The 17,602-nt window shown below is 43.3% G+C and overlaps 1 protein-coding gene and 1 pseudogene across 12 annotated transcripts in view, besides 1 other annotated feature; both read left to right on the top strand.

Annotated features, from left to right (window-relative positions):
• TMTC4 (transmembrane O-mannosyltransferase targeting cadherins 4) overlaps window positions 1-17,602 on the top strand; it is a 71,451-nt gene that overhangs the window by 35,431 nt on the left and 18,418 nt on the right. For 6 of the 12 annotated variants that reach the window (NR_146794.2, XM_047430706.1, NM_001286453.3 and 3 more), the window contains 8 exons: window positions 1,623-1,715; window positions 1,943-2,107; window positions 2,911-3,113; window positions 4,450-4,621; window positions 4,709-4,840; window positions 13,495-13,574; window positions 13,753-13,860; window positions 13,969-14,110. Coding sequence is in view for 11 of the 12 variants with exons in the window: in XM_047430706.1 (XP_047286662.1) it covers window positions 1,623-1,715; window positions 1,943-2,107; window positions 2,911-3,113; window positions 4,450-4,621; window positions 4,709-4,840; window positions 13,495-13,574; window positions 13,753-13,860; window positions 13,969-14,110 (1,095 nt within the window). In the remaining variant the exon portion in view is untranslated. Of the gene's footprint in view, window positions 1-790; window positions 965-1,622; window positions 1,716-1,942; window positions 2,108-2,910; window positions 3,114-4,449; window positions 4,622-4,708; window positions 4,841-13,494; window positions 13,575-13,752; window positions 13,861-13,968; window positions 14,111-17,602 lie in introns of all 12 variants that reach the window. The other 6 variants (XM_011521122.4, NM_001350574.2, NM_001350571.2 and 3 more) reach the window with 2 other exon arrangements.
• Window positions 11,907-12,428: an enhancer, noted in NCBI's record as "H3K27ac-H3K4me1 hESC enhancer chr13:101279471-101279992 (GRCh37/hg19 assembly coordinates)". NCBI's record gives its function as "activates a minimal SCP1, AML or CMV promoter by ChIP-STARR-seq in naive and primed H9 embryonic stem cells {active_cell/tissue: H9 hESC(naive and primed)}" and the evidence as "EXISTENCE:reporter gene assay evidence [ECO:0000049][PMID:30033119]".
• COX5BP6 (cytochrome c oxidase subunit 5B pseudogene 6) lies at window positions 15,140-15,972 on the top strand (annotated as a pseudogene).

The raw sequence follows: 17,602 nt of genomic DNA, 5'->3' as shown, positions 1-17,602 counted from the left end.
TTTTCAGGAGCAGGAGAGAGTTCGGTTGAATTTACATGAATAAAGATACAGTGAAAGGTAGCTATTCTCAAAAATTGGATTAAAATGGGGCCATTTTGATGATGCATTTAAGAAGGAAGGGGGCAGTCTTGTGTTTGGCTCAGGCCTCTTCACCACATGAACCTGCCACCCCTTGGTAACTGTCCTGCAGCTCACAGGAAAACTGTGAGAAGACAATGGCTGCTACGCAGGGAGCATCTGCCTTCTAGAAAGTGGTTTTCAACCAGGCAGAAACGGTCTTCTGTGACCCACTAAGATCATGTCTCACATGGGTGAATAAAATCAGAATTCTTTGAACTGATTAACCCAGCACTGGCCCATGTATTAGATAATTAGTGGCTCCCAGCATTTCTGGGAGAGGGTTAAGTAGGGATGTCATCCTTGCTCTGAAAACCACAAATTACCACTGACTTCTGATGATGTGTGATCTCCTTTGCCGCAAAGAAGATCATATTAAAGAGACCCAAGTCATTTAGGGGCAGCTTTAACAATATCCACTGAGTATGTGCAGACTGCTTTATCCAGATTGGGCAGGGAGTTCTGTCGATGACACTGCCTGCAGCAGTGACATTTATAGAAAGTCCATGGCAGGAGAGAGAATAGAATCCAGGGCCCATCTCTCCTTTCGCCTGTAACTACAGGTTTAATTTTACCGGCTAGAAAGTAACTATCGTGGTGCTATTGGAAACTGTTAACATAGGTGGACTGCTAATTGAAGTTATTTGTTGTTCCCCTCATGGGTCATGGACAGAGCTGTAAATTGATAGAGGTGGCCGTCCTCCACACCACGGCCCTGCCTGGCAAAGGCCTGCTCTCATCAATGTGTGGTTTCCAAAGTCACCCTGTCCATCTCCATTCCAGCCAGCTGGAAGGGGAAACCAAGTGGGAATGTGTGCCCAAGTTTTACAACCAAACATCCAAAATGGTACGTGTCGCTTCTCCCACATTCCATAAGGCTAGAACTCAGCCCCGCAACCTAGTTTAACTGCAGGGGAGGCTGGGAGATGTCATCTAGTTGTAACCCAGCGAGAAAACTACTGGACAACTAGATTTCTGCACAAGAGATCTCCAGAGCTCCATTAGAGATTATCATGTGTGTTCATCCCATTTCTAAAGATGCCAAAGTGCACTGGCACTTAAGGTTCACTTACATGGCTGGGTTTTTGAGGTTGATGGCTGCCTTTATCTTCCAGTATGATTACTGCCCAGGAAAACACTCTGTTGCATGAACTAAAGGACTGTTTTATAGTGACCAAAAAAAGTGGGGAGGGGGTATCTCTCGAGGGCTTTTCCTAGGAATCCCAAATTTCTAGCTATCCTGAATCTTGTAGAACTCCTACACGCAGACTGTGAAATCATTACTATCAGGGGCTTACTAAATAATAAATATGATCTATTACCTTGAGCTAATTTCATAGAAACGTACGGCTGTTATGTGTTTTTTTAAAGAGCTGCAGAGGTCTTCCGTGATTCTCTAGTCTATGTGTTCCTTGTCTAGATTGAGTAATGAAATTGTGAAGTGTAATTGCTGCCTAACACAGCCAAGCTCTCCCGTGGCTGATTGTCTTGCTTTGCTTTCTTAGGGTTTAAATGCGGTATTTGACATCTTGGTGATAGGCAAATTCAATGTTCTGGAAATTGTCCAGAAGGTACTACATAAGGACAAGTCATTAGAGGTGAGTCTGTACTTTTATCTCCAGCCCAGACATGGAAAATGTCAAGTACCAGCTGATTTAAAATGCCATTCTCAAATATTCCTTGTGATTTTGAATTCTACAATAACCAGCCTTTTAAAGCACAGTGTTGAAGCAGTTCAGGCAGAATTGCTGCACATCTGTACCTGGCTCAGCCACACTTTTATGTGAAAATCAGCCACCTCTGGGGCTTTGCGATGTCCTTGCAGAATCTCGGCATGCTCAGGAACGGGGGCCTCCTCTTCAGAATGACCCTGCTCACCTCTGGAGGGGCTGGGATGCTCTACGTGCGCTGGAGGATCATGGGCACGGGCCCGCCGGCCTTCACCGAGGTGGACAACCCGGCCTCCTTTGCTGACAGCATGCTGGTGAGGGTGAGTTCTGAGCCTGCCGCCCCCTGGACTCTTTTCTTCCCCCACCAGATTCCCAGATCCCTCACCCCTCCTCCTCGTCTCACTCCTCTGCACGCCAACAAAATCCCCAATACACGCGCCACCTCCATGTTTGCTTGCGATCACTAAAGATGTTCTGGGATGAAAGCAGGTCTTCCTGAGGGGGTTGAAAGGGCATGCAGAAGCTCCTTGCATTTCCGTTCTAACAAGGAGTAAAGAGGGTGGTTCCTTCTCACATCAGGGTCCTTGCCAGTCCCGTGAAAGGGCTCCCTAACCCTGTGGCTGGGTTAAGGCTAAATATAACCTTCTTGGTGGTATCTTTAGAAGACTAGTGGTGTCAAGACTATTCTTTTAGATTTGCCTTTTTTCTAAAGGCAAGGGTATCAAGCCACAGATTCTTAGCTGTGCATTTCATAGAGACCAAAATCAAGAGAACAGCCATCGAAGCCTGTTATGTTATTGGGTGTATAGGTGACCCTGGGTCCTCAGATTTAGAGGTCACAGGCTTCAGGCAGCAAATAGATCATAGCTTTGCCAGAAATATAACGAATGTATTGCATAGTCTGATGGCTTTGCCATATTTTTATATACCAAAATCTGAATACATTTAATACATTTTTACAGACTATAGTCACATACCCAATACACGTTGGCAACATTTTATTTGATACAACTGCTTTCATTGAGCAGAAGCATATGAGTGCCTCCAAAGTGAAGTTAGTGCGTATATATGTGTTTTTTAAGTTCAGTATCAAATAGATGTTTGTTCTCCTTTTGACTGGCAGGCCGTAAACTACAATTACTACTATTCATTGAATGCCTGGCTGCTGCTGTGTCCCTGGTGGCTGTGTTTTGATTGGTCAATGGGCTGCATCCCCCTCATTAAGTCCATCAGCGACTGGAGGGTAATTGCACTTGCAGCACTCTGGTTCTGCCTAATTGGCCTGATATGCCAAGCCCTGTGCTCTGAAGACGGCCACAAGAGAAGGTAAGAGGCAGCACTGAATCTTAAGTTCCACGCTGGTTGAGTCAGAAGCGTTTTGTGAAATCCTGCGCTGATCATTTTTATGATTTTGTGGAAGTCACGTCTAAGGACATTTGTTTCAAATGCATATTTATGGCTAGGATGAGTTCCATCCATTTGGAATCCATGGCTGGCTTCCGCGGGTGGGGAGCGAGGCTGGAAGAGGAGCTACGGATGACTGCTTCATCCCTCCCTTCCCCTTTCCCTAGGAAGTAGCATTTTGCGATCCTTTTCACCATAGGTGGTAAAGAGTAATTTACGGTCAGAACAGAGAGTGTAATTGATGTGTGTTGTGCCCATTATTGCACAATTCTTCCTCAAAACACCCTGGTGAACGCTGCCATGATTCCCTCTGTTGTAGCTGGGTACAAAATAAGCCATTGCCCCAAAGAGACTGTTCTTTCTTGATGGAAAAAAAAGTTATTGAGAAAATAATTGGGGAAAACAAATGTGTTTCATGAAAAAGAAAACTGTTTAAGGTGATTTCCTTTAAGCCTAAGTGTTTATGGAATTAGATTAGTAATGTCTCAAAATAAATTAAGTTTTAAGTTTACCTGTGTGTTGAATTGGTTAGTAATTCTAAGGAGCCACAAACTTTAGTCCCAGTTCCCTTATCCACAGAAAATGGGATTTTTATAGAAATACTGTAGCCACAGGGCCCAAGAAGGAGCCACCAAAATTGACCTAGAGTCTTAATTCATCCTCTTGCATCATAGGGGACATTGGGAATGATCAGGTGGTTCCAGAAGTGTTTCAATGCTCAGCTTCGTATCTCCCTGACTGAAATTTATGGTGGTGATGTAGCAACCAAAAAATGGTATTTGTTTATTTCAAATTTCATAAACTTTAAACTTACTTAAGTGTTATTATTCTCATTACATTTTGGAGGAATTTTTTTTTCCCCGTGAAAACTGATTGGGACAGTTTTTGAATTAATTGAGACCAACAATATCCACTGAACTGTTCAGTACCTAAATGGTTTGAGGCATAGTGAGGAGTAGGTGAATTAATAAGGCCTCAGAAATGCGATCATGCTAATTTTCTCCATACGAATTGTATGGCTTTTGAGTTTTACCCTTAGACTCGCTGTGAAGTGCCAGAGGAATATTTTTGTGCCTTATCCACATGCTACCAAGCTAAACTGTCTCTACTGATGATATCCTTTGGCTGACAACAATATCTTTTCTCAGTTGATGCCATGGAAAAGAAAAGGTCTTTAGCATTAATTTAATGTGGAGTAGGATGTTTTTCTTGAGAAGTCTGGAAATAGCCATTTATTTAAATACTTTTCATCATCCAGGATCCTTACTCTGGGCCTGGGATTTCTCGTTATCCCATTTCTCCCCGCGAGTAACCTGTTCTTCCGAGTGGGCTTCGTGGTCGCAGAGCGTGTCCTCTACCTCCCCAGCGTTGGGTACTGTGTGCTGCTGACTTTTGGATTCGGAGCCCTGAGCAAACATACCAAGAAAAAGGTATCAACTGAGAGTGGTGCCAGCTGATGAACAGAATGACCGGATGCATCTCACTGGTGACAATTACCATGTCTTTCTGTTCTTAAGAAACTCATTGCCGCTGTCGTGCTGGGAATCTTATTCATCAACACGCTGAGATGTGTGCTGCGCAGCGGCGAGTGGCGGAGTGAGGAACAGCTTTTCAGAAGTGCTCTGTCTGTGTGTCCCCTCAATGCTAAGGTACCTAGCTGCCAGATTTCTTTTAAAGGGACCTTACTAGGGTATCTGTTAAGTTCTTGGGCTGAATAAGAACATTTCCTGTCGCGCAGTATTTAGTGTAAGACCATGACCGAATACTTGGGTTTTTCTTTGTTATGTATGGTTTTTTTTAATGATTTTGATAAGATTCATTAAAATTCCACTCAGCCAAAATTGAAAAGAAGTCATTTAAAAGCAGACAGTATCAATGAAACAGATGACTCTAATGAGGTCTTAATCATCTTCCAGATGATCTACTCACCCTTTGAAGTAGCTTCAGGGGAGGTGACATTGCGTATTCAGACTGAGGGTGGGCACGGCACAGATTCTGATGTCTAGAGCACACTTTTCAAAACCCACTCTCTAGTGATAGCATTAACTAGCCTCCTCCAAGCTGGAATTTAAAGGGGTAGTAATGCCTACAAATTGGCAATAATGTAGTTCAGGAAGTTTATGCTATGTGCTGCACAATAGTACACATTTATGTCACCTTTGGGTGCCCTGCTAGTGATTTTTTGGGGGTCAGATTAGGTAAACATAAATGTACATACAGTCATGTGCCATGTAACAGTGTTTCAGTCAGCAAACCGCATATTGCATATATATGACCATGGTCCCATAAAATTATACCTTTTTTTTTTTTTTTTGAGACTGGGTCTTTCTCTTGTCACCCAGGCTGGAGTGCAGTGGTGCGATCTCGGCTCACTGCAGCCTCCACCTCCCGGGTTCAAGGGATTCTCCGGCCTCAGCCTCCTGAGTAGCTAGATTACAGGCGCTTGCTACCACACCCAGCTAATTTTTGTATTTTTAGTAGAGACAGAGTTTCACCATGTTGGCCAAGCTGATCTTGAACTCCTGACCTCAAGTGATCCGTCTGCTTCAGCCTCCCAGATGCTGGGATTACAGGCGTGAGCCACTGCACCCGACCAATATTTTTACTGCCTCTTTTCTATGTTTAGATACACAAATCCTTACCATTGTGTTACCATTGCCTCCAGCATTCAGTACAGTCACACGCTACACAGGTTTCTGGCCTAGGAGCAGCGGGCTAGACCACACATAGCCTAGGTGTATAGTAGGCTTTACCATCTAGGGTTGTGTAAGTACACTCTTATGATGTTCAAACAATGACAAAATCAGCTAACAATGCATTTCTCAGAATGTATCCTTGTTGTCATCAAGTAATGCATGACTGTACTCTAAAATTGGCAGTGTTTTTGTTTGAAGCAATCTGGTAGGAATTTTTTCACTTGTATTCTTGATGAATCCAAGCTCTTCACTTGACTAGCTGTGCCTCTTTGGGCAAAACTACACTTTTTAAAACTTGCAGTGCCCTTTTCTATCAGAAGTGGATAATACCTATCTGCTGGATTTGTTGTTAGGGCTGAATGAACTAAAATGCCCTCACACGGTGGCCAGCAGTAGGTGCTCAGAAAGTGTTAGCTTTTTTTTTTTTTTTTTTTTTTTTTTTTTTCCCTGAGATGGAGTCTTGCTCTGTTGCCCAGGCTGGAGTGCAGTGGCCTGATCTCGGCTCACTGCAACCTCCGCCTCCCAGGTTCAAGCGATTCTCCTGCCTCAGCCTCCCGAGTAGCTAGGACAGGCATGCGCCACTATGCCCGGCTAATTTTTGTATTTTTAGTAGAGACGGGGTTTCACTATGTTAGCCAGGCTGGTCTCGAACTCCTGACCTCGTGATTCGCCCATCCTCAGCCTCCCAAAGTGCTGGGATTACAGGCATGAGCCTCCGCGCCCAGCCAAGTGTTAGCTTTTGTAGGTTCATTTCAGTTTGGGTTTTGCATTATGTTGGGAAGAGAACGCTATTTGCTCAAAATGGGGGCCAAGGGGTTAGGTTAGAAGAATTTTCTTTTAGTATAGATTATTATCATGAAATAATGATCATTCTCTCTTAGGTCCTCAGCATAAGAGCTGCCTAGATTGCTTAAATGTAATCCTCCTGGGTGGAGACGGGGAGCTCTCTGGATCTGTTTCATGTCTATGTTCCATATTTAAGGGAAAGCAGTGATTTCAGACAAAATTATATAAACAAAACTAATGAATAGTTGACATCTTATTATGAAACTTAAGTAAAGAATAATATATAAGAGATGCTGGCTACTTATCTTTTTCTTGGATTAAAACCTGTCATTCATATTTTAGTTAAGAGACTTAGATAAAATAGTGAATTACTTTCAGCTTTTATCTTTAGTTTGATTTGTTGACTTATCAATTTATTTTATGCTACCAAAAATAAATTGCCTGTGATTTAATTTCTTAAACGTTAATAGATCTGCTTTATTTTTCCTTTACTGTTTGAATCGCAGTAATTGCCCCTTCTATGTGTGGAGTTCCTCACCACAAGGAGTTCAGATTTCTTTACAGAGGCTCTATAATTCATCTCTATTATCCTCTCACTCAGCTTTTTAGAGAGACAGCGTATTATTTTCTCTGTTTTCCCAGATGGGAGAAACTGAAGCATAGCAAGATTAAACTGACATTATCTAGGTTAGTAATGTAGGTGGCTACAGAGAGACCTGGTATGGTGATGTGCCCAGGTGCCTCTAGTAAATAAGGGGGATGGAACATAGGTGATGTCTGAACCCAAAAATCTGCCCGGGAAGTGATTTCATATGTTACAGGCTAGAAAACACAGGGCGTGTGCTTGTGGGAATGCACGTAAGTATTAGGAGAAAGACAGAGAGAGAGAGAGAGAGAGAGAGAGAGAGAGAGAGAGAGTGTGTGTGTGTGTGTGTGTGTGTGTGTGTGTGTGTGTGGTTTCCTCTTAATTTAAGGAATACATATAAGACCTCATCTTCAAAATGGACCCAGTGGTAATAGTCCTTTCTCAAGAACATTTTTCAATGATTCTATTCAATATAAGCAAGATTGAGATTTTTGGGAGTTTCTTTTTAAATTGAAGTGTCATAAAATTATCTTTACTTCCTTTTTTTTGAAAAAATGTAAGTTAATTTTAGGAAAGTAATCTCACTTAGGAAGACACTGGTTTCCTTCAGTCCCATTATTTCAGGGGACACATTTTCTATACTGGTTTCATTTGATATCTATTGAATATAAAGTAAGAAATTGGCAACTGGCTCTAATTTAGGGCCAGATGTGTGAGCTAAGACTCATCTTTTTTGAGAGATTGCAATGTCAGTGTAGGTAGTGCTGGTCCCTGGTCTGCATGTCAAGGCACAGTGCCTTGCATATGGTAGACAATCAATATTAGTTATTGAATTCAGCCAAAGGGAAGTTGAATTCACTGAGACTACTGTGGATGAGATACCAAGTATACTTATAATCATTTTTAGTTTTTAAGGCTTAAAAGTATGTCACACCATCAACTCTGTGATACAATTCTATAATAAATTCTTTTAACAATGAAACAGATCATATGCCACAATGAGGTATTTTCTTAAGGAGTAAGTGACCCAGGATGCTATAGGATTTTTATGTTTTCAAAACATTTTAAGTTTAACATTAGATGTTGCCAGAATATTTATAACAAATTAGTTTAGCCCTGGTATTAAAGGTGCCTTTCATAACTGATACTCTCACTTTCTTGCATTTACATGTTACTGGGTTGTAATGTTTGTTTTATCTTCGACTTCTGTGCTAGTTCATTGCCTCAGCATGTGCATCACAAATGCTAGGGGGAAAGTTGAAGAATAAACAAGCTTTTCAATCATTTATATTTCAGGGAAACAAAAGTCAGTCATTCTCTAAACACTATTTTAAGTGACCTGGTTGTGAGATTTTTGTTCTGTTTTGTTTTGTTTTGCAATCTAGGCAGCTATTTTTTATTCAAAGAATTCCCTCCACCTAACCCATAGGATAAAGCTGGCCTCTAGGGAAACCTGTTTACCAATTCTTAATGATGGCCTGCCTTCTAAGGCTGTATCAGATTTTTAACTAGTTCCTGTTCCAGAGTCCCACGTCCTTCTCCTTTGATCTTCTGGTCTCTGGCATTCTGAGTGTCTAACAGAACACTGTCTATACTGCAGAGGGCGGTTGAACTCTTTGTCTGGGCTTTTTATTGAGAAAACAGAATTTGCCTGGAACAAAGGAAAACAGCAGGAGCTTGGGGCGGAAGAGGCGGGCGTCGTGTTGATGTCTGAGTAGAAGCTGTATTTGTATTCTGAGGACTACAAGGACATCACTGACAGATTGGATTCTCCGGCCCTAGGTTGTTTTGTGCATACGAGAGGAGGTGAAGTCACATGTCCAAGCTGGGTTGGGGGAAGCTCAAATTCTAATCATTTAGAGCACTTTTCTCAACACACACTTCAGCGATAGCATTAACTGAGCCTCCTCCAAGCTACAATTTGAGGACAAAAATACCTATGAATGGACAATAATTTGATGCAGAAAGCTTAAATTCTACTGTGTGGTGCATGGTAGTACACACATTTTTATCACCTGCAATTTCTCTGCTTGTGAGTCCTTTCATCAGAGTGGGTAAACATAAATCTATATGCTTTTAAATTGGCAGTTAAGAAAACCTGTTAATATGCACTGCTGCATATTCTTCCAGAAATCTAAGTATGTTTGACGAAGTGCTGTAACTGTAGGTTAAGATGGATAAGGCAGGATGTGGTTGTGTTTTCAGGGGTCATTTGGAAGCAGTGTTCAGACATAATGTTATTTGAATGTGTTTAAACCACTTCTGTATTTCAAGATTTTATTAGTTTTCTCAGGCTGCTATAAACACACACACACACATACACACACACACACACACACACACACACACACACACACATACACACAGATTGGGTGGCTTAGACCACAGTTAATTTTCTCACTGTTGTAAATGCTGGAATTGTCACATCAGGGTGTCAGCAGGGTTGGTTTCTTGTGAGGCCTCTCTCCTTAGCTTGCAGACGGCACCTTCCCCCTGTGTCCTCACGTGGTGTGTCTTCTGTGCACACATATCTCTGGTGTCTGTGTCCATATTTCCTCTTTCTGTAAGGACGCCATTCATACTGGACTGGGGTCATATGGATGGGGGCCCAACCATATGACCTCATTTGACCTTACTTACCTCTTTAAAGACCCTATCTCCAAATACATTTTCATTCTGGGGTGCTGAGGGTTTAATGTAAACTTTGGGGGACAATAACATATAAAAAGAAATGTGATTTTACTTAGGAAAAAGGCCAGTGGTATGAATGAGTGGATCTAGAAAGTGCCTCGAGCAGTCACCCTCATCTTCCCCCAGCACTGTAATCAATGTGTATTATCTAGTGGGAAGAAACACAGGCTTCAGAGCCTGGTTCTAATCCAACTTCACAGCCCTAGATGAGACGCTGAATGGCCCCGAAGCAGTTTATCAACTCAGAAGAGAGGGTCACAGCAGCCACGGCCTCGAGCCACCGTGAGGAAAGACCGCGATCACACAGCACGCAACACCGCTCCCAGCTGGTGGGTGCCACTCAAGGTGTGCCAGCTACACACCATCTTACCATTCACCGTGACTGTTGTTAGCAGCACCCACACTTCATGCTTCTGATTGAGTGAGTTTCTGTAGCATCGTCTCCTCTGGGCTTGCTACTCACTTTGTATTGTAAAGTCCCGAAAGGAGCTTTTGATCATCAACAAATACTTTTCTTTTTCTTTCACTTTTTCTTTTTCTTTTTGTGAGACAGAGTCTTGCTCTGTCGCCCTGGCTGAAGTGCAGTGGCATGCTCTTGCCTCACTGCAGCCTCCAACTCCTGGGTTCAAGCGATTCTCCTGTCTCACCCTCCCAAGTAGCTGAGATTACAGGCGTGCACTACCACACCCAGCTAATTTTTGTATTTTTAGTAGAGATGGGGTTTCACCATGTTGGACACGCTGGTCTCGAACTCCTGACCTCAGGTGATCTACCCATTTTGGCCTCCTGCAGTACTAGGATTACAGGCATGAGGCACTGCGCCCGGCCAACAAATTCTTTTTATTGTAGTCTTCGTGAGCTTGTGTAGTCTGGCTGCCTTAGGCTTAGTTCAAGTCCCCACTTTTTTCTTTGTCATTTATTCTAAGCCCATGTTTAGTTGAGAAACTACCAGACGTTGGCTTCCCTGATGCCCTCGTTCCAAGGTGACCTGAGAATTCCTAGTAGATTGGCAGCTGGGAGCCCCATTCTATCCAGCCTACTTCACCCCCTCTTCAGTCATTGAAAATCCTTTCCTCATTCTCTCTTTTTTTTAAATGGAGGTAAAATTCCTATAACATAAAACTATCCATGTTAGTACCTCAAAAAATTAAAAACAGAATTCTGTGATCCAACAATTCAATTTCCAGGCAAATATCCAAAAGGACCGAAAGCAGAGACTCAGAGAGATTTGTACACCCATGTTCACAGCAGCGTTATTCACAATAGCTAAAAAGTAGAAGCTACCCAGGTGTCCATCCAGGGACAAATGGACAAACAGAATGTGGTGTACTCATGCAAGGGAATATTATTCAGCCACAAAAGGAAGGAAATTCTGACACATGTGACACAAATGGACAAATCCTGTACAATTCCACTTACATGAGGCACGTGGGAGTCAAATGCATAGAGACGGAAAATGAATGGAGGTTGCCAGGGTCTGGTGGAGGTGAGAATGGGTACAGAGTTTCAGATTTGCAAAATGAAAGAACTCTGGAGATGGATGGTGACCATGGACTTCCACGTCAGCCTATCCTGTACCCCTAAACAAGGCTGGTCACCCATCACATCTCTTGAAAGTCATCACACCCATTCTGTCCTGAATGTTGGGAACCTACCACTTGTTCTTGACACTCTTCCCTCTCTCCTATCAGTTGGTCACCAATTTGTATGCTTTTTGCTTCCTCACTGTTCTTCAAACCCCTCCACAGATTCACCACCACCCTAGTTCAGTCTGCTGACCTCTCTCCTAGGACTGCAGCCACAGCCTCCCTGGAGCCCCTGACACCTGCTTCTCCCCCACTCACATCTCTTTCCCACCACGGGATTTGTTTCATATGAACATAAACATGGTGGTGACCTCTGCCACCCTCCCACCCCTGGCTTCCTGCTGTGGGTTTAATTGTGCCTCCCAAAAGCTACGCTCAAATCGTAACCCCTGGGACCTAGAAGTATAATGTATAACCTTTTTTTGGAAATAGGGTTGTTGCAGATGTAATTAAGATGTCAGTTAAGATGAGGTCATACAAGAGGATGGTGGGCCCTTAATCCAGTGTGACTGGTGTCCTTTTAAGACAGGAGAAGAGACAGGGAGACAGACAAGAGGTGAGATGGTCATGAAGACAGAGGCAGAGGTGGGAGCGAGGCATCTGCAAGCCGGAAATTATGGGCAAGCACCGTGAGACAGGAGAGAGGCAGGGAGCAGTCTCTTCCCTCAGCCGGTGATGGGACCAGCCCTGCCCACACCGTGATCTCAGCCTCCAGGACTGTGAGAGAAGTGTGTTGTGTTAAGCCCCTCAGTTTGTGGTGCTTTATTGCTGCAACCCTGGGGCACTCACACACTTACAGACCCCGCCCCGCGCCGGCCTCGTGGCTCTGAGGACAACGACTGATCCTAGCCTGCCCTTGCTCAGGGTTCCCTGCGAGCGCAGCTGCTCCTCCCGGGCTCTCCAACCTGCATCCCTGCTCTCTGTGCTCCAGCCACACCGAGGCCCTTGCTCAGACCCTGTGAGAATAATACCAGAGACAGGGTGCCAGACACTCATTTCTCACAGTGCCAGAGGCTGGAAAGCCCACCATCAAGGTGCAGGCAGGTTGGGTGTGTGGTAAGGGCCTGCCTCCTGGTTCACAGACGGTCGTCTTCTCACTGTGTCCTCACGTGGCGGAAAGGGGGCATGGGAGCTCTCCAGGGCCTTTTTGATGAAGGCACTGATCCATTCATGGGCCTCCACCCTCATGACCCAATCACTTCCCAGAGGCCCTACTTCCCAATACCATCACATTAGGAGTCAGGATTTCAACATCTGAATTTTGAGAGTCCATAAACATTCTGCTTATTACAGATACAGAGTAAAATGCTTGTGATGCTAGCTATAGAAGAAAGGTGCCATCCAAGAAAGGGCCATATTTGCTTAAATGGGTGGACAGAATCATGCTTTCTTCTACTCATGTCCACATGTGACTAGACTTTGTTATCTCAACTCTAGTGGAGTGTGTAGGTGAGGGGAATTTGAGGTTTTGATGATAAAAACAAGCCAGGTGTGGTGGTGTATGCCTGTAGTCCCAGCTACTTGAGAGGCTGAGGCAAGAGAATCACTGAATCCCAGGGGTTCAAGGCTGCAGCACGCTATGATGGCACCTGTGAATAGCTACTGCACTCCAGCCTGGGCAACATAGCAAGACCCCATCTCTAAAAATCAAAAGTAAAATTTTAAAAAGCCCAGCTTTGTAGTTTTCTGGTTGTCTCTGGTGAGGTCTTTAGTTATTTCCCTTCTGTTGTGCTTTAGAGATGTATCATGCCTATACCCCCTTTCTTCTGATCCTCTTACAGGGTTGGAGATTAAAGCACAAGCAACTCCTAACCCCTGTAGGGTTTTAGCTAAAGTTCTGGTGGGTGATTTTTTTTCCTCGTCGCTTTACCTTTTGTCTTCAGTTAGAAGATGTGATGGGGTCCAGGCTCTGAACAAGAAGTCTGTCTGCTGATGGCCCAATTATTCTCTGTCTGCAGGTTCACTACAACATTGGCAAAAACCTGGCTGATAAAGGCAACCAGACAGCTGCCATCAGATACTACCGGGAAGCTGTAAGGTATGGCGAGTATGTCTTACAGAAGAATTATGTACACAGATCGTTTTCACTTTCTAATATGAAACACCTGTTCCTTTAAAGACCCCAACTTTACAATATCTTTACCGATTCCTGAGAGTTTAGTAAAAACTTACTATTGAGCATTTAATGGTCAGCTTGGTTTTTTCTCAACTTTCAGATTAAATCCCAAGTATGTTCATGCCATGAATAATCTTGGAAATATCTTAAAAGAAAGGAATGAGCTACAGGAAGCTGAGGAGCTGCTGTCTTTGGCTGTTCAAATACAGTAAGCATTGTTTTTATAATTATGCTAGTGACAAAGAAAGGAGCTCCTGCATTCCGGCATCTAAGCCTTTCATCTTCTTGTTTATCTTTGTTAAAACTGCTCCTCTAGGCCAGACTTTGCCGCTGCGTGGATGAATCTAGGCATAGTGCAGAATAGCCTGAAACGGTTTGAAGCAGCAGAGCAAAGTTACCGGACAGCAATTAAACACAGAAGGAAATACCCAGACTGTTACTACAACCTCGGGCGTCTGGTAAGCGCGGGGTGCCCTGTGCCTGTGGAAGGAAAGATGGGTTATTTTTCTTATTTATAATAAAATGACATAGTGACACCCACCTAGCCCATACATTTTATAAAGTTCTTTCACATGTTTCTATCTCATTTGAAGGTAGCTATTTGATTTCCTTTTGAGTAATTTTTTAAAGCTCTCATTAGAGAGCAGTACAGTGTGAATTAGTCAAGTTTAAGAGGTCACCCACGCAAAAGGTTAAACCCAGGAATAAATTAACATGTTAAAGTCCCGTCCGCCCTGTAAAACAGCACTCCAATGGGTAACTTCCTGATAAACATCAGTTTCTCTGTTTTTAAAACAAGAATTGAGTAAGAACAGAGATTAAAGTAACAAATCCGTAGTATGATTTCTGAGCTCCCTTGTTCTCCTTCTTCAAGGGAGCAGAGCTCTTCATCTGCAGGGAGCATTTCCCCCAAAAAAGGCAGCTTTGGAGGGCACGGGATTTATTTGAAAGGGCTTTGACATTATTTGGTGGAAATAGAAAATAACGTGTTCTGTAGTAGCTTTATATTTTTGGTTATTGACAGGATGTTTACGAAGATCTGATTGCTCTTGATTTTCTTGACAAAAATAAAATGAGACACACACATAGCAAAATTCTTTAAACACGAATGGTTGTCTTCTCCCTATAATCAACCATTTAATTTGGTTTCAAGAAAACAAATACATATGTTCCTAATATATTTAGATGTATTCAATAAACATTGTTAATTAAAAAATTTGTGTTCATTCTAACCAAACTGGAATACATCCATAGTGATATGACTTTCACAGAAGTTTATATGTAGATTTCCAGATTTTATCCAGCTTAGCCTTACAGGTAGGAAGGCATCCTCGTGTTCTAAAGAGATGTCTGCTGCCCTCGTTTTAAAGGCCTGAAGCTTCTTGGTTTTGTTTTTTGTTTGTTTGTTTGTTTGTTTGTTTTGTTTTGTTTTTGGAGACAGAGTTTCGCTTTAAAGAGTTCTTATGTTGTCAGAACTGGTAGTTCCCTTAGCTGCTTGTCGATGGCTTTCAAGGTTACTTCATGGAGCTGGAGCGCTTGGCTGCGCAGGCCCTGAGGGCTGGCGGTCCCAATGGCATGGCCACGGTGCGTGCCATGGCTTCTGGAGGTGGTGTCTCTTTCTTTTTTTATTTTTTTTTTATTTTTTTTTTTTGAGACAGAGTCTCACTCTGTCACCCAAGCTGGAGTGCAGTGGCGGGATCTCGGCTCAACGGGATCTCGGCTCACTGCAAGCTCCGCCCCCCGGGTTCACGCCGTTCTTCTGCCTCAGCCTCCGGAGTAGCTGGGACTATAGGCGCCCGCCACCATGCCTGGCTAATGTTTTGTATTTTTAGTAGAGACGGGATTTCACCATGTTAGCCAGGATGGTCTAGATCTCCTGACCTCGTGATCCGCCCGCCTCAGCCTCCGAAAGTGCTGGGATTACAGGCATGAGCCACCATGCCCAGCCTGGAGGTGGTGTTTCTATTGATAACAAGTAGGTGACTGGCCTAGAGATGGAGGTCATGATGACTGCAAGGAAGAGACTGGACCCATACAATGTACTACCCCCAAAGACAGCTTTAGGCACCAAGGAAGACCCTAATTTAGTCCCCTCCATCACCAACAAGAGAATAGTGGGTGCATCTGTGAAGAGGAAAACAGTGCTGTCATCTGGTTTTGGCCGCACAAAGGCAAGACCCAGCAATGCCCCAGCTGTGGAGCCCATTACAAGCTGGTACCCATCAGCTGGTGCATTGAGCGCCTGCACCAAGTTACTCAAAATGTGCTATAAAGTTTCATCTTTCCAATAAAGACCAGCCATTGCATTGGCTCCTTCTCCTTCTGCAAAAAAAAAAAAAAAAAAAAACAAAACCCAACTAGTAGTTTCCAAAACTGACATGCATCCAGACCGTCCCACCCCATCTGACATTTAGGGAATCAAGGGCTCTATAGAGAATCTGTTTTAAAATAACAATAATAAACTGGGCACAGTGGCTTATACCTGTAATCCCGGCACTTTGGGAGGCCAAGGCGGGCGGATCACTTGAGGTCAGGAGTTCAAGACCAGCCTGGCCAACATGGCGAAACCACATCTCTACTAAAAATACAAAAAATAGCCAGACATGGTGGTACGTGCCTGTAATCCCAGCTGCTGGGGAGGCTGAGGCAGGAAAATCACTTGAACCTGGGAAGCAGAGGTTGCAGTGAGCCAAGATTGCGGCACTGCACTCCAGCCTGGGCAACAGAGTGAGATTCTGCCTCAAAAAAATTAAGTAAGTAAAATAACAATAATGAATCACCCAGGTGATTCCAGTAACCTGCCCTTGGCCCTGCAGCAGGGAAGCAGCTCTGTCTGAACTTGGATAACAGGGTAATCATGTCAGAGCAGAAGCCATGGTTTGTGGGGAACAATCCTAGAAAACACTGACTGCTTTACATTTATTGGAAAACCAGGCTTTGGTTTTTACCATAATGTGAATGTCTTTGGTCTTACTGTCTTTGTTTCTGGAGTGGGTAGCCATGATTTTGTGAGTTGTGGAGATAGAATCTTATGAATGGAGAAAACAAGATAGCAGGAACGTCTGGCTAACTAATGGTAAAATGTGACCTTCCCCCTCTGCAGAAGTCCCTTTACGTGGACGAGTAATGCTTGTGTTAGAAATATATACATATGTAACTAACCTGCACATTGTGCACATGTACGCTAAAACTTAAAGTATAATAATAATAAATTTAAAAAAAAAGAAATACTAAAGTGAAGTGGTTGCATGTATGAGTCCATTTTCATAATGCTGATAAAGATATACCTGACACTGGGTAATTTATAGAGAAAAAGAGGTTTAATGGACTCACAGTTCCATGTGGCTGGGGAGGCCTCACAATCAAGGTGGAAGGTGAAAGGCACATCTTACATGGCAGCAGACAAAAGAAAATAAGAGCCAAGCAAAAGAGGTTTCCCCTTATAAAACCATCAGATCTCATGAGACTTAGTCACTACCACGAGAACAGTATGGGGGAAACCACCCCCATGATTCAGTTATTTTTCACCAGGTCCCTCCCACAACACATGGGAATGATGGGAGCTACAATTCAAGATGAGATTTGGGTGGGGACACAGCCAAACCATATCACCGCATTTTTATTACTCAAAAAATGCAAAACATGTTTCAGTTATGATATGCCACAGGAAGATACCACCTCTATGTGCTGACTCCACTGTGGAAAGGAGGAATTATTTCTTCGTGGGCACAGAGGCAAGGGTGGCAGGAATGTGGCTGAACTCATGGAATGGCATGATGCTTGAACAAGGAAGATTAATGGCAAGATATTCCTTTGTCTCACATTAACTTTCTCCAGAACCACTGACCTTGCGTGCATTTTTGTTCTTTTACATTTTAAAATTCTGTGCTTTATGACCTAGTTACCTGCTTTGATGTTGAAACCAGTTTCTCTGTGAGACCTGAAGATTC

The sequence above is a fragment of the Homo sapiens genome, chromosome 13 (assembly GCF_000001405.40).
Source record: "Homo sapiens chromosome 13, GRCh38.p14 Primary Assembly".
Taxonomy (NCBI): domain Eukaryota; kingdom Metazoa; phylum Chordata; class Mammalia; order Primates; family Hominidae; genus Homo; species Homo sapiens.
The sequence above is the reverse complement of the archived record's forward strand: the minus strand, read 5'-3'. Positions and strand labels throughout refer to the sequence as shown.